The sequence below is a fragment of the Homo sapiens genome, chromosome 5, assembly GCF_000001405.40.
Source record: "Homo sapiens chromosome 5, GRCh38.p14 Primary Assembly".
In the NCBI taxonomy this organism is placed as follows: Eukaryota; Metazoa; Chordata; class Mammalia; order Primates; family Hominidae; genus Homo; species Homo sapiens.
Window position 1 is genome coordinate 143,318,555 of NC_000005.10, and position 26,648 is coordinate 143,345,202.

Sequence of the window (26,648 nt, forward strand, 5' to 3'; positions counted from 1 at the left end):
ACAAGTCTTCAAAAATTCTGATTTTTGCTTGAAACCTATATTTTATCAATTGGCAACAAATACTTTAAGTTGTTTTCCTTAAAGTGCTAAGTTTACTTCAGTCATTTTTGGGAAAACATCGCCAAATACCCAAGGCTGAAAACCAGAGTTTATCTCTCATGGTACTCCATGAAAAAAAGTAGGTTAACTCACAGTTTAATCTTATACACTTTTCTTTGAGACAACTATCAAATGCTATATGCGATATAAGTGGATTATGCACCTTCTCATTTTGTCACACTGACATGAGAAAGACCACATGTATTTAAGGGTTGAAATTTAATGTAATTAATAATTTTTTTGCTTCTTCAAAGATTTTAAGTGCATGACAGTGAATACAGTAACTACTGTATACTAAGATGCCAACAGTTTTACTCATCTTTGCTTTTGTACCATTATTGCAAATGCTGACATAATGAAATGGCAAATAAAGTACGTGTTACTGTGAAAATAGTCTGCCCTTTAAGGGGAGACTCCCAGGGCCCCATGGACCACACTGGAAGAATTGTTGTTATGGAGACTAGTAAGGTAAAGATTCTAAACCAGATAGGCTACAATTCATAACCTAATTCTACAATGTAATAGCTTGGTGACCTTTTAATCTTTCTCAATCTCAATTGCCCTATTGCTAATAGGAATGGTAATGTACCTGACAAAAGGATACAGTATCGCTTACTAAATTAGAGGCTTCCCTGACAGAGAAAGGGGCAGAGTTGGTAAACTATTACCCAAATGACATGATTGGCTTAGTCTTCAATTTAAGTGAATTAATCAGCAATTTTTCAGTGTAATGCAAGAAATCTATTTGGGAGAAAAAAAACAAAGATATTATCACCTCAGAAAGCAAGTGTTAATATGGAAAAAAATTCCAGAAATACAGCTGCTATAACTGGATTAATTTTTTACAACTACCAATAGAATATTCCCATTGGCTTGTCAGTTTTTGTCCAAACACCGTAACACAGTAGTTCTCAACAGAGAGCAATTTTGCTCTCTAGGAGACATTTGGCAGTGTCTGAAAACACTTTTGGTTATCACGGTTGGGGAAATGCTATTGGCATCTAAGTGAGAAGAGGCGAGGGATGCTGCTAACCAGCCTACAAGGCACAGGACAGCCCCCACCACAAAGAAGTATCCAGCTTCAAATGTCAATAATGCTGAGGATGAGAAAACCTGGCCATAAAGCTTTAAGCAACATAAAGTGGAAAAGAAAAAAAAAAAGGGACCAGAAACATTTTAAAACCTAAACTATGCTTAAAAATGCAACAACTGCACTACTGAAGCAGCCCTAAACAGTCCATTCAAGACAAGTCCAAAAAGAGATTCAAAACAGAACTGAAGCCAAGCCATGGACTATACGGCTTAGTTATCAAGTACAGGATTGGCTTGAGCCAGTAATTTCTTTTTCCCTCTAGCGCTAGCACTAAAAGGTAGTTTTTACACATTAAAGTCACCTGCACTTTTCTTATCTTTGTTCATTAGGAAAAATGTAAATACTCAGCTGCACACACCAGGTGATTATATTTTCTGACTGCCCATTTATCTCTGCATTAGCTAAAGAATTACTGATTTGTTTGATAATAAGCTATGGAATAGTTTTCAAATCAAATAGAAAAATGCTTTAGGGGAAACCTTTCACAATATTTCTGTTAAATGGTTTTAGCAGAACACATTTTATCTTATTTAACAAGCCAAAGAAAGACTGATTATTCTCTTTGCTTTGCATTTATTGAGAGAGGTTTGCATTGGTTTCAACTTTAGGTTCTTATTAAGATAGTTCATCCAAACTCTGCATCATTTATATTCACTCCTCTTGGGGAGAGGGTTACAGCAACAAAACCTATACATTAATAGATCAAGAGAATGTTCAGTAAAGGATTTTTCAGACCTCTAAGACACCAGTGGCCTACTACTCAGTGTCTCTGGGCTTGGTTTCCCTGTCTGTAAAACGAAGGTCTTGATTTAATTAACTCCAAATAAGCTGGCCATATCTTGCAAGATGGGTTTGGGGATGGAAAAGTGGAGAGGAAAACACTTGGATCTGTAAAGGGTTTCTTAGGTCCTGTGTATTTATTTGTAGAGAGAATATAATCATGTTATCTATGCTACTTAAAGTCTAATCTGTCTCACAGAAATAATGTATTTCTTTCTCATTGGAAGAATTAATCCAGTTTGGTCACTGTGTTTGGGTAACTTACTTCCTAACAGCTGTATCCTTCTTTGCTCTTCAAACCAAGTGTCAAAGATGGAGAAAAACAGAATAAGTCTTGAGACCCCAAGCACTCCCTTCTCAGGCTGTGTGTTATCAGTTCTGTTTGCTCAGGCTTGCATTAGGGGATGCGAGTTTTAAGCAGAAGCAATAATAGTACATTGAATGGTAAACAGAATACCAAGAACCAGTATGGTAAGAAGAAAGACTAAAAACTTTTTGATCGCATAGTTATTTCTAGAATGAAGACCGGATTTTGTTCCCACCTTATGGTTCCTCACACATAAGAGCATACAAGGATAATAGATGGTTCATAATTCAGAATTAGGAACATGATGTCTTCAGAGAAGGCAAGAACATGTTGGAGACAATAGTGCAGTTATTGACTTTTTCCAACAAGGTATCTCGAGCATCTTTGAAATGCCATTTGTGTTCACCTCAAATACAACAGTAACTTATTTCTAAATATTTTATTCGATTCTTAAAGAGAGATTTGAATTTCTCTCACTATATTTAGTAACCCAGACTTACATGCAGAGATTTTGCCAATTCTAACCCATCTTCCACATCCTATTTATTACTCCCTGTAACACTATGTCAGGACCTATTCCTTCCCATCCACTCTGACCGCTGCCATTCTAATGCATGCCTTCTCTCACCTCTTGCTTTAACCACTGCAATGGTTGATACTAAGTAGTCCTTCTGGCACTGGCTTCTCTTTCCATTCTATCCCCCACACACTGCTAAAACTCTTTTCTCAACATGATTAAAAATCTGAAGGGCTCCTCCACTGTTTATAGTACAAGCTCAGTATGGTCCATAATTTGGTCTTTTTATTTTTCCAGTCATATGTCTTATCACTCCCCTACATAATCCATGTAGTTTCTTTATCACTACAGGGATCCTGGATTCTACAAATATTTATCAAGTACCTATGATAGGAGTAGCTTTTGCTAAGATCTGTTTTCCCTGCCTGAAGTGTCCACCATGGTATTCCTGATCCATGACAGCTTCTAGACTTCCTAAAACACTGCCATATAGCACTTTGCACAGATGATCCTATGTTACCTTTTGATGTATATGTATCCTGTTTCTATCAATAATCTCTTTTAGGTAGGGCCCATGTCTTGGGTCTCTCCATATCGCCAGCATCTTGTACAAAGTTCAGTATATGTTCACTTATTTTTCTTATTTATACTTTCTATCTTTATCTGTTTTGCAAAAGAACTCTGAGACAGCTAACATGGTAAATATTTATGAGATTATAATCAGAATACAGGTATAACCTCACCATTACTTGGCACTATTATGCAAGCTCTTTCTTTGTATAGATTATCTCATTTAATCCTCTCCACAGACCTAAGAGGTGGGTACTATTTTCAGCATTTACAGATGAAGAAACAAGATTTAGAAAAGTTGAGTTGCCTAAAGTGATCTAAGTAACTAGTAAAGTCAGGGTTCAAACCCAGGTCTTTCTGACACCAACATCAGTGTTCTTAAGCAATCTTCTTCATTTTCCACTATGATAAAGTGTCAGAACTGAGAAGCTGAGGTATATCCAGGCCTTCAACTTGAGAAATAACACTTTCTACTTTGTAGGCTGAAGTTTGATGTCTTGATGACATAATGCAAAAAAGGTGGCAATTTTTTTTCTGTGCCTGCCTCCAATCATGACCTGCAAATGAAGATTTTTGCCCAAATAGGGATTGCCAGACTAGGTCAAATAGGTAAAAACATTTGTCTTAAAACTGTGTGACGATCTGTGTCATTTGACCAAATTTTCAAATGTTCCTCAAACTAACAGATATCTCATATTGCATAATTAGCAGTTCCTAAATCCTAAAAAGACATTTATAAAAACAAATGGAAATGCAGAACAGTTGTGTCTATATTCATATCAATATAAAGGAAGGAAAAGGAACCCTCAGAACCAATCTCAACCTGATTTAAAGCCACATTACCCCTTTCCTTCCCTCAAAGGCAAAGGCTTAATTCTTTAATTCTTAGATTCTCACATTAACTTGAGAACTTTTTGGTTTCTCTGTCATGCCAGTATACTAGACAAGTTTCTTTTGCTATCTGGATTTCCCTCAGGTTTTGATGCTGCTGCTCTCACTTCACACTCAGGTCCCTACATATCCACTGAAACAATTTAAAGGAATAATCTTAGGTACAGGACTCCCCACTTATCTGTGGTTTCACTTTTGACAGTTTCAGGTACCTGCAGTCAACCACAGTTTGAAAACATTAAGTGGAAAATTCCAGAAATAATTAATAAGTTTTAAATTCTGTGCAATTCTGAGTAATGAAATCTTATGCCCTGGAACGTGAATCATCCCTTTGTCCAGCATATCCACACTGGAGACGCTCCCTGCCGGTTAGTCCCTTACTAGCCATCTGTATTAGTTGTTTTCACACTGCTGATAAAGATATACCTAAAACTGGGAAGAAAAAGAGGTTTAATTGGACTTACAGTTCCACATGGCTGGGGAAGCCTCAGAATCATGGCAGGAGGTGAAAGGTACTTCTTACATGGTGGTGGCAAGAGAAAAATGAGGAAGAGGCAAAAGTTTTGGAAACCCCTGATAAACCCATGAGATCTCGTCAGTCTTATTCACTATCATGAGAATAGCACAGGAAAGACCAGCCCCCATGATTCAATTACTGCACCCCCACCCCCGGGTCCCTCCCACAACACATGGGAATTCTGGGACATACAATTCAAGTTGAGATTAGGGTGGGGACACAGCCAAACCATATCATTCCACCCCTGGCCCCTCCAAATCTCATGTCCTCACATTTCAAAACCAATCATGCCTTCCCAATAGTCCCCCAAAGTCTTAGCTTATTTCAGTATTAACCCAGAAGTCCACAGTCCAAAGTCTCATCTGAGACAAGGCTAGTAAGTCTCTTCTGCCTATGAGCCTATAAAATCAAAAGCAAGCTAGTTACTTCCAGATACAAGGGCCGGAGGGATGGGGGGCAGGGGGTAGGGGGGTGTCACAGGTTAAATACAGCTGTTCCAAATGGGAGAAATTGGCCAAAACAAAGGGGTTACGGGGCCCATGCAAGTCTGAAATCCAGTGAGTTAGTCAAATTTTAAAGCCCCAAAATGATCTCCTTTGACTCCAGGTCTCATATCCAGGTCATGCTGATGCAAAAGATGGATTCCCATGGTCTTGGGCAGCTCCGCCCCTGTGACTTTGCAGCCTACCTCCCGGCTGCTTTCACAGGCTGGCATTGAGTGTCTGTGGCTTTTCCAGGTACATGGTGCAAGTTGTTGGTGGATCTACCATTCTGGGGTCTGGAGGATGACGGCTCTCTTCCCACAGCTCCACTGGGCAGTGCCCCAGTAGGGATTCTGTGTGAGGGCTCCAATCCCACATTTCCCTTCTGCACTGCCCTAGCAAAGGTTCTCCATGACAGCCCTGCCCTGCAGTAATACTTCTGCCTGGGCATCTAGGTGTTTCCATACGTCTTCTAAAATCTAGGCAGAGGTTCCCAAACCTCAATTCTTGACTTCTGTGTACCCACAGGCTCAGCACCATGTGGAAGCTGCCAAGGCTTGGGGCCTCCACCCTCTGAAGTCACAGCCTGAGCTCTATATTGGCTCCTTTCAGCCACAGCTGGAGCAGCTGGGACACAGGGCACAAAGTCCCTAGCCTACACATAGCATGAGGACCGTGGGCCTGGCCCACGAAACCACTTTTTCCTCCTGGGTCTCTGGGCCTGTGATGGGAAGGGCTGCTGTGAAGGTCTCTGACATGGCCATGGAGACATTTTCCCCATGGTCTTGGGGATTAACATTAGGCTCCTTGCTACTTATGCAAATATCTGCAGCCAGCTTTAATTTCTTCTCAAAAAATGGGTTTCTCTTTTCAACTGCATTGTCAGGCTGCAAATTTTCTGAAGTTTTATGCTGTTTCCCTTTTAAAACAGAATGCTTTTAACAGCACCGAAGTCACCTTTTGAGTGCTTTGCTGCTTAGAAATTTCTTCCACCAGATACCCTAAATCATCTCTCTCAAGTTCAAAGTTCCACAAATCTCTAGGGCAGAGGCAAAATGCTGCCAGTCTTTTTGCTAAAACATAACATAGTAACCTTTGCTCCAGTTCCCAAAAAGTTCCTAATATCCATCTGAGACCACCTCAGCCTGGATCTTATTGTTCATATCACTATCAGCATGTTGGTCAAAGCCATTCAACATGTCTCTAGGAGGTTCCTAACTTTCCCACATTTTCCCGTCTTCTTCTGAGTCCTCCAAAGTTCCAAAGTCGCTTCCACATTTTTGGGTATCTTTTCAGCAACACCCACTCTACTGGTACCAATTTACTGTATTAGTCCATTTTCATGCTTGTGATAAAGACACACCCAAAACTGGGAACAAAAAGAGGTTTAATTGGACTTAGAGTTCCACAGGGCTGGGGAGGCCTCAGAATCATGGCGGGAGGCAAAAGGTACTTCTTACATGGTGGTGGCAAAAGAAAAATGAGGAAGAGGCAAAAGGGGAAACCCCTGATAAACCCATCAGATCATGTGAGACTTATTAACTATCACGAGAATAGCAAGGGAAAGACCAGACCCTGTGATTCAATTAGCTCCCCCTGGGTCCCTCCCACAACACATAGGAATTCTGGGAGATACAATTCACGTTGAGATTCTGGTGAGGACACAGCCAAACCGCATCACTATCTCTGTTACCAGTTGGACTGCCACAGTATCACAGTGCTTGTGTTCAAGTAACCCTTATTTTACTTAATGGTGGCCCTAAAGCACAAGAATAGTGATGCTGGAATATTGTTACAATTGTTTTATTTTATTATTAGTTACTATTACTCTTTTACTCTTCCTAATTAGTAGGTTAAACATTAACCATAGGTATGTATGTATAGGAAAAACAATATACATATAGGATTTGGGATTATCTGTGGTCTGTGGTTTCAAGCATACACTAGGGGTTTTGGAACCTATCCTCCATGAATAAGGGGTGGGGGCTGCTATATTTAGTAAATAATGAAAACATTGGTAACCTTACCCCTAGAAGATCAAGGAGGAAAGAAATAGTTTTTAAAATTATATAAAAGTTATATAGCAGACATCTGCAATACAGCCAGTTAGATAAAAAATTTAAGACTGAAAAAAGTTTTCAGTAGGTGAAACAAAATATCTCTTTCACAATAATAATCATACTGGAAACTACTGACTTGTAATTCTGTGTGTCAAGCTGCATGCCTAGGTACAGTACACAAATAAATTATCTCAAATAATTTTTACTGAGTCCATTTTACAGATAAGAATACAAAAATTGGGCCTTTTATTTGCCCAAAGTCGCATTATAAGGCAACACCTGGATCTGAATTCAGCTCTGCCTAATTCCAAAATCTATGCACCTCATAACCTTGTGACTGTTGCCTGGCAGGGGCCTGCAGAGTAGCATCCATTAAGCTTGACAGAGTTTTTTAAGATTATGTGGGTCACTTAACAGACAGTCTTAAGGTAAGGTTAAACATCAAAGTTAATTTCTGTTTTCTATCTATCCTGCCCCTTCTATCCTTCATATCACAATGGAGCACAAATTATAATTAAGAGATACAAAAGCATTCAGTCACTTCCATTTTTTTCTTTAGATACTTACTATATTAAGTCTTAAATGAACATATTGGCATTCCAAATTATTAAGATAATGTCATGCTGGTCATTGAAATGCTAAATTAACATGAAGACTACATTTCAAAAATACAAAAGTATAAATAGGAGTGTTTTGTATATTCATACCACGATTTTTGCCCTTAGAGGAACTCTGAAGTACATTGTTATATGTCTGACTAATGTATTCAACCCTGGAATTTTTGGGGAAGCATTTGTTTTTTTCTGAAATATACTGTCCCACTAAAGTATCAAATTGGGCATACATGATGACATGAAAAGCATTTCCCAAACCATAGTTAATTTAAGTAAAATGAACTTAATATTATACAGCCTTAACTAGAAATGAGATGTCTTGCCACACTACCAGTTCTGTCAATAGAAGTTGAGTGAATAGATTTATATCTATTAACTAGAAAAAAGTATAGGCATAAATTAACATGTCATCTGATGTGAGCAGATTGAGAAAGCCAACAAATTTCTAGTTATTCAATTTAAAGGACACTGAAGTACCACAATGTATACATTCAATTTGACTACATAATAATAGCTGCTATTTACTTAGCACTTCTTCATCTACATATTCTGTAATCTTCATTACTATCCTGTATTAGTCCATTCTGACACTGCTATAAAGATACTATCTGAGACTGGGTAATTTATACGGAAAGGAGGTTTAATTGACTCACAGTTCTGCATGGCTGGGGAGGCCTCAGGAAACTTATGATCATGGTGGAAGGGGCAGGGGAAGCAAGACACGTCTCACCTGGCAGCAGGAGAGAGAAAGAGCACAAGGGAAACTGCCACATTTAAACCATCAACTCTCCTGAGAACTCCCTATCACAAGAACAGCATGGAAAAAACCCCCCCATGATCCAACTGCCTCCCACCAGGTCCCTCCCCCAAAACATGCGGGTTACAATTCAAGATTAGATTTGGGTGGGGACACAGAGCCAAACCATATTATTTTGCACTTGCTCCCTCTCAAATCCCATGTCTTTTTACATTTTAAAACCAATTATGCCTTCACAACAGTCCCCCAAAGTCTTATTACAGCATTAACTCAAAAGTCCAAGACCAAAGTCTCATCTGAGACATGGCAAGTCCCTTCCACGTATGAGCCTATAAAATCAAAAGCAAGTTAGTTACTTCCAAGATACAATGAGGGAACAGGCATTGGGTAAATGTTCCTGTTCCAAATGGGAGAAACTGGTCAAACCAAGGGCCACAGGCCCCATGAAATCTGAAACCCAGCTGGGCAGCCCTTAAATCTAAAAGCTCCAAAATCTCCTTTGACTCCATGTCTCACATTCAGGGCACACTGAAGTAAGGGGTGGGCTTTCATACCCTTGGGCAGCTCCGCCCCTGTGGCTCAGCAGGGTACCCCTGTGGCTTTCACAGGCTGGCATTCTGTGGCTTTTCCAGACGTATACTGCAAACTGTCGGTGAATCTACCTTTCTGGGGCCTGGAGGACAGAGGCCCTCTTCTCACAGCTCCACTAGGTAGTGCCCCAGTGGGGACTCTGTATGAGGGATCCAACCCCATATTTCCCTTCCGCATTGCCCTAGCAGAGGTTCTCCATGAAGGCTCTGCCTCCATGGCAGACTTCTGCCTGGACATCCAGGCGTTTCTATACATCCTCTTAAATATAGGCACAGGTTCCCAAACCTCAACTCTTGTCTTCTGCGCACCTGCAGGCCCAACACCACGTGAAAGCTGCCAAAGCTTGGGGCTTGCACCCTCTGAAGCAATGGTGCGAGCTGTAACTTGGCCCCTTACAGCCACAGCTGGAGCTGGAGCATCAGGGATGCAGGGCACCATGTCGTGAGGCTGTACAGAGCAGCAAGGCCCTGAGCAGGAAACCATTTTTCCCTCCTAGTTCTCAGGCCTGTGATGGGAGGGGCTGCCCCGAAGATCTCTGCCATGCCCTGGAGACATTTTCTCCATTGTCTTGGTTATTAACATTTGGCTCCTTGTTACTTATTACTTATTACTTTTTACTTATTATTACTTATTACTCCTTGTTACTTATTCAGATTTCTGCAGCTGGCTTGAATTCCTCCCCAGAAAATGGGGTTTTCTTTTCTACTACATGGTCAGGCTGCAAATTTTCCAAACCTTTATGTTCTGCTTCACTTCTAAACCTAAGTTCCAATTTCAGACCATATCTTCGTGAATGCACATGACTGAACGCTTTCAGAATCAGCCAAGTCACCACTAGGATGCTTTGCTGCTTAGAAATTTTCTTCTGCCAAATACCCTAAATCATCTCAAAGTTCATCAGTTCTCTAGGGCAGGGGTAAAATGCTGCCAGTCTTTTTGCTAAAGCATAGCAAAAATAACCTTTGCTCCAGTTCCCAATAAGTTCCTCATCTCTGGGACCATTTCAGCCTGGACTTCATTGTCCACGTCACTATCAGCATTTTGGTCAAAAGTATTCAAAACAAGTCTCTAGGACGTTCCAAACTTTCCTATATCTTCCAGTTTTCTTCTGAGCCCTCCAAACTGTTCTAACCACTGCCTGTTACCCAGTTCCAAAGTCACTTCCGCATTTTCAGATTATCTTTATAGCAGTACCCAACCCTGCCAGTACCAATTCTCTGTATTAGTCAGTTTTTACACTACTATAAAGAATATCTGAGACTGGGTAATTTATAAGGGAGGTTTAATTTACTCATAGTTCTGCATAGCTGGGGAGGCCTCAAGAAACATACAATCATGGCAGAAGGCAAAGAGGAAGCAAGGAAAGTCTTACATGGTGGCAGGAGAGAGAGAAAGCACAGGGGAAACTGCCATATTTAAACCATCAGATGTTTTGCGATCTCCCACACTATCACGAGAACAGCATGGAGGAAATCACTTCCATGATCCAAACACCTCACACCAGGTCCCTCCCTCAATATATGGGGATTACAATTCAAGATAAGATTTGGGTGGGGACACAGAGCCAAACCATATCACATCCTGAAAGTAGGTATCTCTAATCCCATTTGACAGATGCAGAAACTAGGACTCAGAAATGTTAGAGAATTGGTCCCAGAACACTATATTATACATTTATTAAGAGGCAAAATCTAAATTTGCATTCAAGATTCCAAGTCTACTGCTGCTTTATTTTTTTGCACATGCCAATAGTAAAAGCTTGGTTTTCAAACTGTATCACAGATTAAGATAGATTAAATTAGAACAATATTATAATAATTAGAGGATGTTAGAACTCCTCTATTTCACAGAAATAAAGGTTAAATGATACCCAAAGTAACAGGTATCATAGGTAAGAAATTAACACCTTTTTTTAAATACCAATACTCATGTATTATTCCTTTACCCTGCATTCTCCAGATACAGATAAAAGGGCTGACTACATTTTTTTTAAATATGTGAATTGTTCTAAAATTCAATACTTTTCTACATTCTGGTGAGATCCTCTTGGTAAATTATATAATTAAATATCAGTCAAAACATACTAAAAAATGTATTGTGGTGCTGCATATAATGTATATGTACTCTGATTTTCACATATTTGTCTACATATACATTTGTCAATTCACAATAACAGAGTGATGTGCCAAGTAAACTATCGTGTAGTTTCACTTTTGAAAATTTAACAATAGAATATAAGTTTTGTTTTTCACAGTCTAAGTAAGTATAGGTTACTGTGGTTCATTTTAGAACATTCATTAGAAAAGTAACGTGTCTCTTCTAAAATGCTATTTGCTAACATTTTAGAAACTGTATGTTAAATAAAGAAGAAACATTTAAAGCAAGTGATGATGTAATTTTTGTTTTAAAATTTTAGGGATATTCTGCACAATGTAAAAATTTCAAGGGCACACTTAGCACTTTTTTTGAGAAAGAATAAATGGTAGCTACTGTTGTAGTGGGAGATGTGCAATGTGGAAGCTTTAAAATTGATAAACATTTATAAGCAAAATAATAGTAAATAATATTTTCCTTTTTTCTAAAATAATCGTCAGATTTACAAGTGAAATCAATACTGTATTCTCTCAAACTTGTTTTAAAAGCTTTGTCAGAGTTTGTATCTTCATAAAAGTATTGCAAAAATTAATTTTAACAAACCAAATCCCTCTTGAAAAGAATCAAAAGGAATAAGAATGTGAATGTCAGCCATAAGAAAGCATTTTTAAAACTGTGTTTTCATATAAGCAGTTCTGCATGCAGGAAACAGAAACTGCTGAGTACCACTGCAGATTGGACACTGCTGTTAACAGCTCCAAAGTCTAAGAGAAGTGGAATCTCTGAAAATAAAAGTCATTACTTAAAATTTTAATTACCAACATAATTTTTAGAGTTGTCACTTTCAACAAAATCATCCCTGAAAAAACTTCACAAGTAAAAATAGTTAAATACAACAACAAAGAATTGCAGGGGATAGAAAGAATCGATATTGTTAAAATCGCCATACTGCCCAAAGCAATTAGCGGGTTCAGTGCTATTGCTCTCAAAATACCAATGACATTCATCACAGAATTAGAAAAAAACTATTTTAAAATTCATATAGAATCAAAAAAGGGCACAAATAGCCAAAGCAATCCTAAGCCAAAAGAACAAAGCTGGAGGCACCGTATTACCCGACTTCAAACTACTACAAGGCTAAAGTAACCAAAACAGCATGGTATTGGTACAAAACAGACACATAGACCAATGCAACAGAATAGAGCCCAGAAATAAGACCACACACTTAAAACCATCCAATCTTCAACAAAGTCAACAAAAACAAGTAATGGGGAAAGGACTCCCTATTCAATAAATGGTGCTGGGATACCATCTCACACCAGTCAGAACAGCTATTATTAAAAAGTCAGAAAATAATAGATCCTGGTGAGGTTGCAGAGAAAGGGAAATGCTTATACACTCCTGGTGGAAGTGTAAATTAATCCAGCCATTGTGGAAAGCAGTTTGATGATTTCTCAAAGAACTTAAAACAGAACTACCATTCGACCCAGCAATCCCATCACTGGGTATATACCCAGAGGAATATAAATGATTCTACCATAAAGACGCATGCATGTGTATGTTCACTGCAGTACTACTCACAATAGCAAAGACATAGAATCAACCTAAAAGCCCATCAACAGAAGACTGCATAAAGAAAATGTGGTACATATACACCATGGAATTCTACACAGCGATAAAAAGAATGAAATCATGTCCTTTGCGGCAACATGGATGGAGCTGGCAGCCATTATCCTAAGCAAACTAACACAGGAATAGAAAACCAAATACCACATGTTCTTCTCAGTTATAACTAGGAACTAAACATTGAGTACACAGGGACACAAAGAAGGGAAGGACAGACACTGGGGCCTACTTGAGGGTGGGAAGAGAATGAAGACTAAAAACCTATCCATCAAGTACTGTGTTTATTTCCTGGGTGATGAAATAATCTGTACAGCAAACCCCTGTGGCACAAAATTTGCCTATATAACAAACCTGCACATGTACCTCTGAACCTAAAATAAAAGTTTAACAAAAAAGAATTGCAGGGTTTTTTGGGGAGTGGGCAGGGGAGAAAAGGAACCAATAAAACAATGATTATGACAAAACCTTTATCCATAGTTTAAAATTAGAACACAAAACATCTAACCACCTGCCAAAACATGAATCACAAAATTGATATTTTAAGGACAAGTCATTAATTTGTAGCATAAATAGCTGACAACCTTAGACTAAATGTGTCATTGCTGATAAATGATTCACATCTTCAATACTGAAAGCTGACAAGCATTCAGAACATTAAAACAATATATCACAACACAGACTGTTAAATATTAGGTGGACAGTCAGTGCATGAGTTTAGCTGTACCAGGATTATTTTAAGAAAGTTCGGGCACTTTGAGTGTTTTTTTTTTTTTTTAATCCATAACTTTCTGTAAGAACCACACTGTGGATCATAACATCTGAGCTATAAGGATTAAGAGTGTAACTGGGGCCCGTTGGGTGGGGGGGCGGGACAGCATTAGGAAAAATAGCTAACGCATGCCGGGCTTAATACCTGATGAGTTGATAGGTACAGCAAACCACCATGGCCACATGTTTACCTATGTAACCTGCACATCCTGCACATGTACCCTGGAACTTAAAATAAAAATTATAATTAAAAAAAGAATTGAGTAGCTGCACCACTAGAAAGATGGCAGTAGCAAGACAGAAGAAAGGAAAAGGGCTCAGGTTTAAGCGACTGGAATCATTCCTACATGATTCCTGGCGGCAGAAACGTGACAAGGTGCGTCTCAGACGACTAGAAGTGAAACCTCATGCCTTGGAATTGCCAGATAAACATTCCTTGGCCTTTGTTGTACGCATCGAAAGGATTGATGGCGTGAGTTTACGGGTGCAGAGAACCACTGCAAGACTTCGCCTAAAGAAAATTTTTAGTGGTATCTTTGTAAAAGTTACCCCCTAGAATCTAAAAATGCTGCATATAGTGGAACCTTATGTGACCTGGGGATTTCCAAATCTGAAGTCTGTCCGAGAACTCATTTTGAAACGTGGACAAGCCAAGGTCAAGAATAAGACCATCCCTCTGACAGACAACACAGTGATTGAGGAGCACCTGGGGAAGTTTGGCTTCATTTGCTTGGAAGACCTCATTCATGAAATTGCCTTCCCAGGGAAGCATTTCCAGGAGATCTCATGGTTCTTGCGCCCTTTCCACCTCTCAGTGGCCCATCATGCTACCAAAAATAGAGTGGGCTTCCTCAAGGAGATGGGCACACCTGGCTATCGGGGTGAACGCATCAATCAGCTCATCCGTCAGCTGAACTAGACCCAGGTGAGGCAGGGCTGAAAACTGCCCTTGGGCTGACTTTTGATAGGCCATGCCTTGCCACTTTACAAGTTCTTTTTGCATTTACTAGTATTTAAGAGTAACCTTGAGATTGGGAGGAAAGAGGAGGCTGGTACAAATAGATGGAGACCTGCTGGGATCAGTGAATGCCTGATTAGGACATGGGGCTATGCATAGCCTAAGAGTTATAGGCTTAAAGATGTCGAGTAACTAAAAACTGTATTGCTGGCCGGGCGCGGTGGCTCACGCCTGTAATCCCAGCACTTTGGGAGGCCAAGGCGGGCAGACCATGAGGTCAGGAGATTGAGACCATCCTGGCCAACATGGTGAAACCCTGTCTCTACTAAAAATACAAAAATGAGCTGGGTGTGGTGGCACGTGCCTGTAGTCCCAGCTACTCGAGAGGCTAAGGCAGGAAAATCGCTTGAACCCAGGAGGCAGAGACTGCAGTGAGCCAAGATTGCGCCAGTGCACTCCAGCTGGGCGACAGAGCGAGACTCCATCTCAAAAAACAAACAAACAAACAAACAAACAAACAAAAAACTATTGCTGCAGTCATTCAGATGGAAATGGGGAAAGAATAATATTAATAACTGATTTCAAAAAGGACTTGAAGATGTGAATCATCTATTTTGCTGAAGAAATCTTAACTTTTTGAAATTACTTTTTATTGCTGTTGTCATACTCTTAGGTGACAAACTGCGGTAAATTTTTTATCAGTGAAGTGGAAGCATGCGTTTTGTTGTTTTGGGAATTTTTATCAAGTATCTTCAGAGAAGATTATTTCCTGCTTTATCTTCAAAAACTGGAAAGGAAGGGTCAAAGAAAAGACAGTAGCTGGCCGGTCGTGGTGGCTCATGCCTGTAATCCCAACACTTTGGGAGGCTGAGGCAGGCAGATCACCTGAGGTTGGGAGTTCGAGACCAGCCTGACCAACATGGAGAAATGCCATCTCTACTAAAAATACAAAAATTAGCCGGGCATGGTGGCACGTGCCTGTAATCCCAGCTACTCAGGAGGCTGAGGCAGGAGAATCGCTTGAACCTGGGAGGTGGAAGTTGCAGTGAGCTGAGATCACGCCATTGCACTCCAGCCTGGGCAACAAGCGAAACTCTGTCTCAAAAAAAAAGAAAAGACAGTAGCTTATGTTCATGTCAAGCACCTCTCATCACAGTCTAGTTCCAAGGAAAAATTCCAGCGTTTTCTACATTGGGTGCTGTGTCATCTGAAATCGGCACATTCCATGGAGGAAGGAGTCCTGCTTTGTTGCATGTATCCTAGGGTTTAATGTTGGTAAATGAGTCACTCTAGCATTTGTAGAAGGCTCCCTGAGACTCCTACAGCAGTCGACCAAGCCCAAGGACATAATTGAATCTGGAGAGTCCTGGGGCCTTGTTTTGATAAAGACTTGAAATACACATAGGAAGAAAGGCATAAAAATAAATGTTCACTTGTCTCTGCTGTGAAAAAAAAAAAAAAGAATTAAGAGTACAGAGAGCAATAGAAAGAGGGAGATCTTTTAAATTACATTGGAAGCAGTAAGTTTTCTTAGTTAGCCTGAGGAGGAACTCTGTCCCTGTCCCTGCCTCCCAAAAGGGAGCAAAAGGGTATAAATAGTTTATAAGAAGCATCCACTTGAAAGTTTAATTTTTCTCACAGTGCGAAAAAGAATAAAATAATACCAGAAAAGGTTATTATGATTTCTGAAATGTAGCATAAAGCCAAAACCTGAAAAGAAGAAGAAACACTGAATTAGACAAGGGTATGCAATAGAGAACATGAGGGGTTCACACCTTCTTGACACTGCAGGGAGTAGCTGAAATGACTGGTTGACGCTATTTGTGGGTCTTGGTTTGAATAGGAGGCAATTTGATTCTCTCCCTACTAGCATCAAGAAATCACATCATACACAGTACAGTGGTACATGCCGAGGCCCTTCCAGTTGTAGGCTGGCCCCATTTTTCATTCATGTGGGAAAGGAAAACTGAATAAACTCAATACAGCTATGATCCCCACACTGAGGAAAACTCTCTGTAACCATAAAGCCCAACTCATGTTTTTACATCTAATCCGTAGTCTACTCTAAGATTATTGTTGTAAATTCATCTGCTCTAAGATTACTGCTGTAAATTCATTTAGAATTACATAGCTAGATAGAATGAAAAGGTAATTTGTCAAATGAAGCTAAATTGGAAGATACTTTTACATTATAAAAACTATAACTATTTAGACAATTTAGAAAACAGCAAAAAGTTTAAATTAGAAAATAAAGTCGCCATTCTTTTGACAGAAAACCAGCAAACACTTCCATATATAGCCTGCATCTTTTAAAAAAACTGCATCTATTTATTTTGGGGATAACAATATAAATGGCTAATTTGCACCTTGCTTTTTATGTGTGGTACTATTCATCTGTATACTTCACATTTTGATAAAACTCCTATGTCAATAGATATTTTACATGATTCTTTAGTAGTTGTAAAGTATTTGGCTGTAACTTCCATTCTCCCGTTATTGGTCATTCTTTGGTTTTTCACTATTATAAATACCACTGTACACACCTTTGCAAATGTCTGATTATTTCCCTAAGTTAAATTCCTAGAAGGGACTGGAAAGCCGATGGACAACTTTAGGGTTTATCACATGGATCCTTAAACTGCCTCTCCTTACCTGCTCCAGGAAAAGTAGGCAAAACATGGACACATGTATTTCCCCATATTCGCTTCTAACAGAAAACAAATCTGGTGAACTGGCTATTGATAAAATTTGCCTATTTCTCTGTTGGGGTGTTTGTCTTCTCTTGATTAGTAAGAATGTTTTGGATGTTAAGTACTTAAACACTTAGTCCATTGAGGACATAGCTATAAAGCTCTCATTTTGAATCAAAATTTCAAATATTTCAAGTATGATGATATAATCTGTGATGTTCAGAGCCCTGGCTGTTGTTCACATGATAATTCCTTTAGCCATATCTCTGTTTGAAGTGTATGTGAGCTTGAAAATAAAATGACCAGTCAAATGTAGTTCTGGTTAAAGATGGTATATTTAACACATGCTTTTATTTCAGCTCCCTCTCAAACCCAGTATATGTTTTTAAAAGCATACACCTCTAAGAATAAAGAGAAGAGACAATACCAGCAACAGTTCACAAGACAGAAAGCAGATGGACAAGGATTGTTGGCTTCCTAAGATCTGTTAAGTCACCAGTGGGGAAAGCTAAGAAGCAACCTAATTATTATGAAAAAAAATTCTGAAAGGCTCAAAAACTGGGGGTAAAGGTAGGGGTTCAAAATCAGGAAGACTGGTTCAAAGTCTGTTTAAGAACATTTACAGGTTTCTTTTTATAGAAATGGTAGGTCAGACTATGAGTGCCAACCTGCCTGCCAAAAACCAAAGTGCTAGATAAAAAATATTTTTAAAAAATATCCAGGCCAGGCGCGGTAGCTCATGCCTGTAATCCCAGCACTTTGGGAGGCTAAAGCAGGCAGATCACTTGACGTGAGGAGTTCAAGTGAGGAGTTCAAGTCCAGCCTGTCAACATGGCGAAACCCTGTTTCTATTAAATACAAAAATTAGCGGGTATGGTGGCATACCTGTAATCCTAGCTACTCGGGTTGCTGAGACAGGGAAAAGCTTGAACCCAGGAGGTGGAGGCTGCAGTGAGCCAAGACTGTGCCGCTGCACTCCAGCCTGGGTGACAGAGTGAGACCCTGTCTCAAAAAATACATACATACATATACATATATATATATACACACACGCACATGTGTGCGCACACACACATATATATCTCCTTAAAAGCACCATCAAGCTGACAAAATGATAAAGAATTAGGCTAAATCTAAAGGAAAGCATCCCAAGTTACTTGTGCTCAGAGAATAACAGATTTAGGCAAATTTGGATTTCAACTAAAAGGACAGAAAACTAGAAAAATGGACAAAAAAACTTATACTTTACAATACAGGAACTCCAAATGGCCAATAAACATATGAAAAGTTACTCAGCTTAATTAGTAATCAGGGAAATGCAAATTAAAACGACAATAAAATAACTTACATACCCATCAGACTGACAAAAATTAAACATTTGACAATAAGATGTGTCCTGAGTTTAAGGATGTAATCATTTTGGAAGACAGTTTGGTATTATCCAGTAAAGTCAAAGACAAGAATGTCCTATGATGTAGCAACTCCATCAATAGATATGTATTCAAAAAGAAATTTATACTTGTAAATAAATTAATGTGCATATACAGTAAAATGTGTAAGAATGTTGGCAGCAGCATTTTTTTGGTTAAATAAAAACTACAAACTAGTCAAATGTTCATAATAGTGGAATGATTTATAAACATCCATATATCTTATCTCTGAGGATATAATTCTATACAGCAATGAATAAACGACAGCTGTACACTACAACATGAATGAATCCTACAATGTTGAATGAAAAAAGCAAGATGCAAAATGACATATATAATATTCTATTCACATAAAATTCATATACATATGATATTCTATTAACATGGAATTCAAAATATACAAACTGAGTTATATTGTTTAAGGATGTTTATATAGGTAGTAAGAAAAACAAGAAAACAACGATCACATTTGTCAGGGCAGTGGTTACCTCTGGGGAGGAGGAACAAAATAGGATTTGTAAACTTATATGGTCATACTGGAGGCCTCCAAGGTATTGGCAATATTCTATTTCTTGCCCTGGTTGGTAATTACACACTGCTAGCTTTATTATTATTATTTTTCATTAAATTGTATGTATGGTCATGCACGACATAAATTTCAGTCAATGATGGACAGCATTTATAGTGATGGTCCCATAAAATTATAATGGAGCTGAAAAAGTCCTATCACTTAGCTGCAGCTGTGCATTGTAATACAACACCATGCTTATGTTTGTGGTGATGCTGGTATAAACAAACCTACCGTGCTACCAGTTATAGAAAAGTACAGCAAATACAACTGTGTACAGTACATAATACTCGATAATGATAATAAATGACTATGTTGGTGGTTTATGTATTTACTGTATTATACTTTTTTCATTATTTTAGAGTGTACTTCTTGTCCTTTTTTTTTTTTGTTAACTGTCAAACACTCTCAGCCAGGTCTTTCAGTAGGTATATCAGAAAAAGGCACTGTTATCACAGAAAACGACAGCTCTGTGTTTGTTATTGCCCCTGAAGGCCTTCCAGTGGGATAACATGTGAAGGTTGAACACTGATGACACTGACTTTGTATAGGCCTAGGTTAATGTGTGTGTTTGTGTATTAGTTTTTAGTAACAGTTTTAAAAATAAAAACATCTTAAAAATGGAAAAAAGCTTACAGAAGAAGGACATAAAATTTTCTTTACAGCTGTACAATGTGTGTGTTTTAAGCTAAGTGTTACTAAAAAGGAGTCAAAATGTTAAAAAAATTAAAAGTTTACAAAGTAAAAAAGTTACAGTAGGCTAAGGTTAATTTATTATTGAAGAAAATTTTTCTATAAATTTAGTGTAGCCTAAGTCTACAGAGTTTACACTACAGTAGACTTCATATAATAAATGTCCTAGGCCTTCACATTCACTCACTACTCAATGACTCACAGCAACTTCCAATCCTGGAAGCCCTATTCACAGTAAGCACCTATACAGGTGTACTATTTTTTTCCTCTTTTATATTGTATTTTTATTGTACCTTTTCTATGTTTAGATACATAAATACTTACCGATGTATTAGAGGTGCCTGCAGTGTTCAGTACAGTAACATGCTGTAAGTTTGTGGCCTGGAAGCAACAGCTATACCATATGGTCCAGGTGTACTGTAGGACATACCATTCAGATTTGTGTAAGTTCACTCTATGATGTCTGCACAATGATGACATCGCCTAATGATGCATTTCTCAGAACCTATCTCTGTTGTTAAGCAATACATGACTGCATATTTGTTTTGTTCATTCTCATGTACATATGCTTGTTTCACAGTAAAAAAAAATGTAACTCAAAATAAAAAATAGAAAAAGAAACAGATAGCATGACCTCCCCTACTCCAGTCTTTGATGATTTCTTACCTTTTGTTGTCTACATTTTCTCTTTCTAGAACTCCTAAGCTGGTTCTCTAATTCTCTTATCTTCTCCCCTATTTTACATTGCTGTCTTTTTGCTCTTATTTCTGGGATATTTTCTTACTTTTATCTTTCAATCCTTCAACTGAGCTTTTCATTTATGTTATCATCCTTTTAACTTTCAAGAGTTTAGTTTTATTCTCTGAATGTTCCCTTTTTCAAAATCCTTTAATTTGATAAATGCATTATTTTTCTTATTTCTGAGGATATAAGTAATAGGTTTGAGGGAAGTTTCCTTATCCAAGATGACTGCTCTGTTGTTTGTTCTGATCTCTGTCCTGAAGCTAGAAGCTCTCCCCTTCCTTTCACCCTATCCTTCTCCTCCTTCCTTCTAGGCTGAGGGTTGGTGGGGCTCCGGACTAAAGGATTCCAGACACAGCTGAGAGTAGAAATATCTTAAAAACAAAAGGAAGTTTAAGTGAGCCATTACATACCAAATTATTAATGGCATTCATTCAGTTGAAGAACACAGAGAAAAAGAAGAATGAAGAAAAATTAACAGAACTTCATGGACCTGAGAGACAGTATCAAATGGCCTTACATATGAATGGAGTCCCAGAAGGGGAAGACAATGAAAATTCAAGAGAAAGATAATGAAGACATAATGACTAGAATTAGTTAATTTAGCATGGTCACAGGACACAATATTTTTAAAACATTCTATATATGCGACAAACAATTGGAAAATAAAATTTATATTAATATAATTTAATAACTAGCAAAACACATATACACAATAGATATGGGACAAAAGATGTGCAAGAGCTTTACAGGAAAAATGAGAAAATATTGCTGAAAGGAACTAAAGATCTGAAAATATTGTTGAAATAAACTAAATATCTGACTAAATGGAGAGATATACAGTGTTCCTGGATTGGAAGACTCAATATAGACTCAATCCCCAAATTGAAGTCTCTTATACCCAAATTGATTTAATTTCAATGCAATACCAATCATAATCCCAGCAGGCTTTTTTTGTGTGTGTATAGAAATTGACAGGCTGACTCTAAAATTTATAGGGAATACAAAGGACCTGGAAGAACCTTAGACTTTGGCCCTGCCTTCTGGGGAAGGGTTAGTTATCTCTTTAAAGATGATTTTTTTTTTTTTTTTTTTTTTTTGAGACAGAGTCTCGCTCTGTCGCCCAGGCTGGAGTCCAATGGCACAATCTTGGCTCACTGCAACCTCCGCCTCCTGGGTTGAAGAGATTCCCCTGCCTCAGCCTCCCGAGTAGCTGGGATTACAGGTGCGCGCCACCACGCCCAGCTATTTTTTGTATTTTTAGTAGAGACAGGGTTTCACCATGTTGGCCAGGCTGGTCTTGAACTCCTGACCTCGTGATCCGCCCGGCTTGGCCTCCCAAAGTGCTGGGGTTACAGACATGGGCCACCACACCCGGCCAAAAGGCGATATTTTTTAAAACACATCAATTGATTTACCAAATATATATTTTTAAACTTTTAGGCTTGGGGATACATGTGAGGGTTCGTTAAATAGGTAAACACATGTCACGGGGGCTTGTTGTACATATTATTTCATCACCCAGATATTAGGCCCAGTACCCAATAGTTGTATCTTTTCTGCTCCTCTCCCTCCTCCCACCCTCAGTACCAGGAATTAAATATGAATAATGAAGGTAGCTCAGCCAATAAAACTGAATCAGTTCTTCAGTCTGTGGGCAAACACAAAATTCTTCTTTCAGAGGTTTGATAAGCTGTTGTAGTTTCGAAATGATCCAAATAATAACTTACATGACTTGATTTATTAAGAAGCCTGAAATATATTAAACAAATCACAGCTCCAAAGAATGAACAATAGGATAATGGAATGTTAAAGGAAAACAAACCAATTTAAAGGAAATTTCCATCTGCAAAAGGCTTAGTAGGATCTGCTAACTCAGAATCAGGAGTGTTCTTTAATTTATGAGGTTCTCATTTCAGTACTTTAAAAAATTAACGGTAAATGGCCCCATGGCTTATAGCAAAAGGAGACATTCTATTTAAGCAAAGTTATTAGAACAATGGTGATTGTGAGAAGAGCTGAAAACAAAAGTCAGTCACTCAGCAACTAGAATGCCAGAAAGAAAAAAGAAAAGACAAAAATAGAAATACATCTACCACTGGTCCTTTCAGGACATCTGGATACATGGCTCATAACTACCCCAAGTAACATCCCTTTCAAACACAAGAAGAGAAGTCTTCTAACTGCCAAAACTGTTCTAACAGAACATGTGTATCATATCCTAATTAGTATTAGCATATTTTTTGACCACCAGAAAGTTGAAAGTGAAATGATGTTATTTAATATAAACCTGTTCTTAAATAATACTTCTCCTAAGAATATTTTTTAGTTATTAAAATAGAATTTTGGGGAAAGAAAAGACCCACTTCAAATACTCTGTGGTCAAATATAAAATTATAATTTACAACAGATAATATATTCAAATGCCCTCAAATTTTATTATGAATTGAACTGAAATATTAGTACTATGGGCTTAACATCAATAATTTTATAGCAAAGAAAATACAGAGAGGGAGGAGGGGCAAAATGAATGTCTTTTTATCACATGTCCTGACTCACTTCTACTGGTGCTTGTCCAGGATGATGCAATTATTGAATCATAAGCTGTTCCACTGATGCCATGTTCAAAATGACAAGTCTCAGTCTCTCAGACTTTCAACAAGAATCTACGACAGCCACAGTCAAAACAGTATGAATAACAAAAAGGTGCCATGCAGGTGTTTCACAGAAAAAAAAAAACCAAGAAACTATTACATTTTAAGAATTAAAATTTCTTTCCTTCTGGTTACTTCGTTTAGTCTGTTCATTTTTTATGATCATACTATAATGACGGAGGCTAACTCTTGCTTAGTACGTGGCAGGCACTATGCCAAATCATCTACAGGAATTATCTTGGTTATTTTAATCTTGGCAACATCTCTGAGAATGGGTTCTATTAATATCCCCACTTAAGGGATAAGGAAACTGAGGCTTAGAAGGTCTACTGTCCAAGGTCACCAAGGTGGTGGCTCTGTGAGAACTGGAATCTAGATTCTCAGACCTCCAGGGGAGGAGTTTACTCAATGCATTCTGTTGTTGCTCTCCATATTGATGACATATCAATGACATTTATTATGGAAAAACATTTGCTGAATCAATTTAAGAGAAGTTGGAAATGTCAGTAAAAACCTTCATAGCAGTATGAGAATATGTTTCCAAAAACCAGGAGAAGGAGATGCCCCAAAATGTTTTAAGAAGGAATCAGAAAGTCCTGAGCAAGGAAGCATCGAAAAATGATCGAGTTCCTAGCCAGGAGCCAGGAAATGTGCTTTGTAATTGGAATTATAACTGCCCTGAGTAAAACAGATTGTGTTTTCATGAAGCTTCAACAGCTCATTGTAGGAGACATACAAGGAAAAGGCCAGTTAAAATACACTGTGATTCATGCCGCCATGTGAGAATATCAAAGGACCTTTAGACATAGAGAGGTGTCAGAGAAGTCTTCTGATTTGCTACGAGCTGGAAAGGTAAGTAGAGAGGGAAGTCGAGGAAGAGAAGACAGTCATGTGTGAAGTTTCCTGGCACCCAGAGTATAGCTCTTTTAGGGGAACCCAAAGACAACAGAAGATGACAAAAAAATATACTAAATAACACTAGAAAACACTGTCCAACCAAGGTTCTAAGTGATCTGAAAGTCACAGGTTAAATTTCATAAGGACAAATATAAGATAGCATCTAGGGAATGGAAAGTGACAAGCACAATGGTCATACTGCCTTTTCATATTTAGAATGGCACAGTATTCTAGTGCAATGCAGAGCCCAGAACTAGGAAATGGGCAACTACTGGGATTCCAGATATCTTTCTATCACCAACTCACAGGGTGACAATCAACAGCTCTTTCAGCTTCCCTGGGTTTCGGCTCCCTCTTTGGTAACTCATGGATAAAGCTAATTGTCTAGCAGGAGGCAGGTTGCTTGACCTGATAGTCTCCTCGGGACTTTCTAAAATCAATGACTCTCTAACTCAGATACATGATGGCTAACAACCAGGGATGAACAACAATACTATCTTAATGAGAACCACTAATAGAAATTAACACTATGTGTGAGGTAGGTACTATTATTATCCCCATTATATAGACAAAGAAAAATGCAAACTCAGAGAAGTTAAATTATCTGCACAATTTCATATAACTAGCCATTAGTGGAGTCAGAGTTCTCTTTCAGGCATCCCAGCTACAGAGTCCATATCCCTAACCATCAGAATATGCCATATGCTTCCTCTTTCTTACAAGTTGCAATATTCCCAGTATTGTTACTCTGTGTGTATTTATGATACGTAACTTTTTAATCTTCATAATATTCTTGGAAGGTGTTATTCCCATTCAGAGATGAAATCAAAACCTTGAGAGTTCCTACAGGGATTTAGTTGTGGCACTGGGCCTAGATTTTATCATGACCTCTATCACTATGCTCTTTCAAATACAGCAAATTATAGAGATTAAATAAACCAGCATCATAGATAAATGAACTGCAAATCTCATTCACTCAATTTTTTGTCATCAATTAATTTATAAAAAGAATATTAGTATTAACAAAAGATATTTTACTTTTATAAATCAGTCACTGTCAGCTATTTTTTTTTCTAAATTGTAGAATTTTACTAATTATGTTCCTTTTGGACTGTATAAGATGTAGCACCTTTAAGTTATTTAACTATGACATAGTGCTTAGAATTTAAACATTTTTAAACATTATATTTTGCTATGGCTCATTTGGAAAATCTAAGCTTTAAAAAGACTAAGACAAATTAGGTAAGAGAGAAAAAGTAGACTCCCAACAATTTTTCATACCCATATCGTACAAAAGTTTGCTTTTCTAATATTATAAAGCCAATTCTTAAATTTTATTTCAGCATGTCCTGATAGTACACAGGTGAAACCAAACAACCACCACATCAAAATAATAGCAAAGACAACAACTAATACTAATTAGTTATTATGGTCTAAGTACTTTATTAATTCTAATTCTTACAAAAACCTTATGCATTATTACTAGCCCCATTTTATGAATGAGGACATTTAAGCTCAGAAAGGGTTGCTAACTTTCCCAAAGAAAGTCACACAACTAGAAAATAGCCATACGGCAGGTCTTTGAATAATGTTTTGTTCAACATTGTTTTAACGTTGATGAGAAAAAAAAAATGATGCTGACTGGGCGCGGTAGCTCACGCCTGTAATCCCATCACTTTGGGAGGCCAAGGCGGGTGGATCACCTGAGGTCAGGAGTTCCAGACCAGCTTGGCCAACATGGTGAAACCTTGTCTCTACTAAAAATACAAAAATTAGCCAGGTGTGGTGGCGGGCGCCTGTAATCCCAGCTACTTGGGAGGCTGAGGCAGGAGAAACTCTTGAACCCGGGAGGTGGAGGTTGTAGTGAGCTGAGATCACACCACTGCACTGCAATCCAGCCTGGGTGACAGAGTGAGACTCCATGCCCCACCCTCACCCCCCACAAAAAAAAGAAAAAAAACTGATGCCTGCCCAGCTCTGTCCAGGGCCACTGTCTGTGTAGAGTTGGCTCGTTCTTCCCATGTCTGTGTAGTTTTTCTCCAGATACTTCGCTTTCCTCCCACATCCCGAAGCTGTGTGTGATACGGTAACTGGCATGTCTGAAGGGTCCCAGTTTGAGTGTGAGTGTGCATTTGAGTGCACCCTACAATGGGGTGGCGTCCTGTCTATAGGGTCAGTTGCTCTGAGCTATGAGTATAAGCTGCAGGCCCCCTGGACCCTGAACTGGAATGAACACATTGGAAAATGAATG

General features: G+C 38.4%; 1 protein-coding gene and 1 pseudogene across 22 annotated transcripts in view, besides 1 other annotated feature; one reads left to right on the plus strand and one right to left on the minus strand.

Moving 5' to 3' along the window:
• Nucleotides 1-26,648, minus strand: part of NR3C1 (nuclear receptor subfamily 3 group C member 1) — a 157,582-nt gene that overhangs the window by 40,624 nt on the left and 90,310 nt on the right. The window lies entirely within an intron of this gene.
• RPL7P21 (ribosomal protein L7 pseudogene 21) lies at nucleotides 1,041-15,236 on the plus strand (annotated as a pseudogene).
• Nucleotides 16,417-16,486: an enhancer, noted in NCBI's record as "active region_23336". NCBI's record gives its function as "activates an Ori minimal core promoter by ATAC-STARR-seq in GM12878 lymphoblastoid cells {active_cell/tissue: GM12878}" and the evidence as "EXISTENCE:reporter gene assay evidence [ECO:0000049][PMID:35858748]".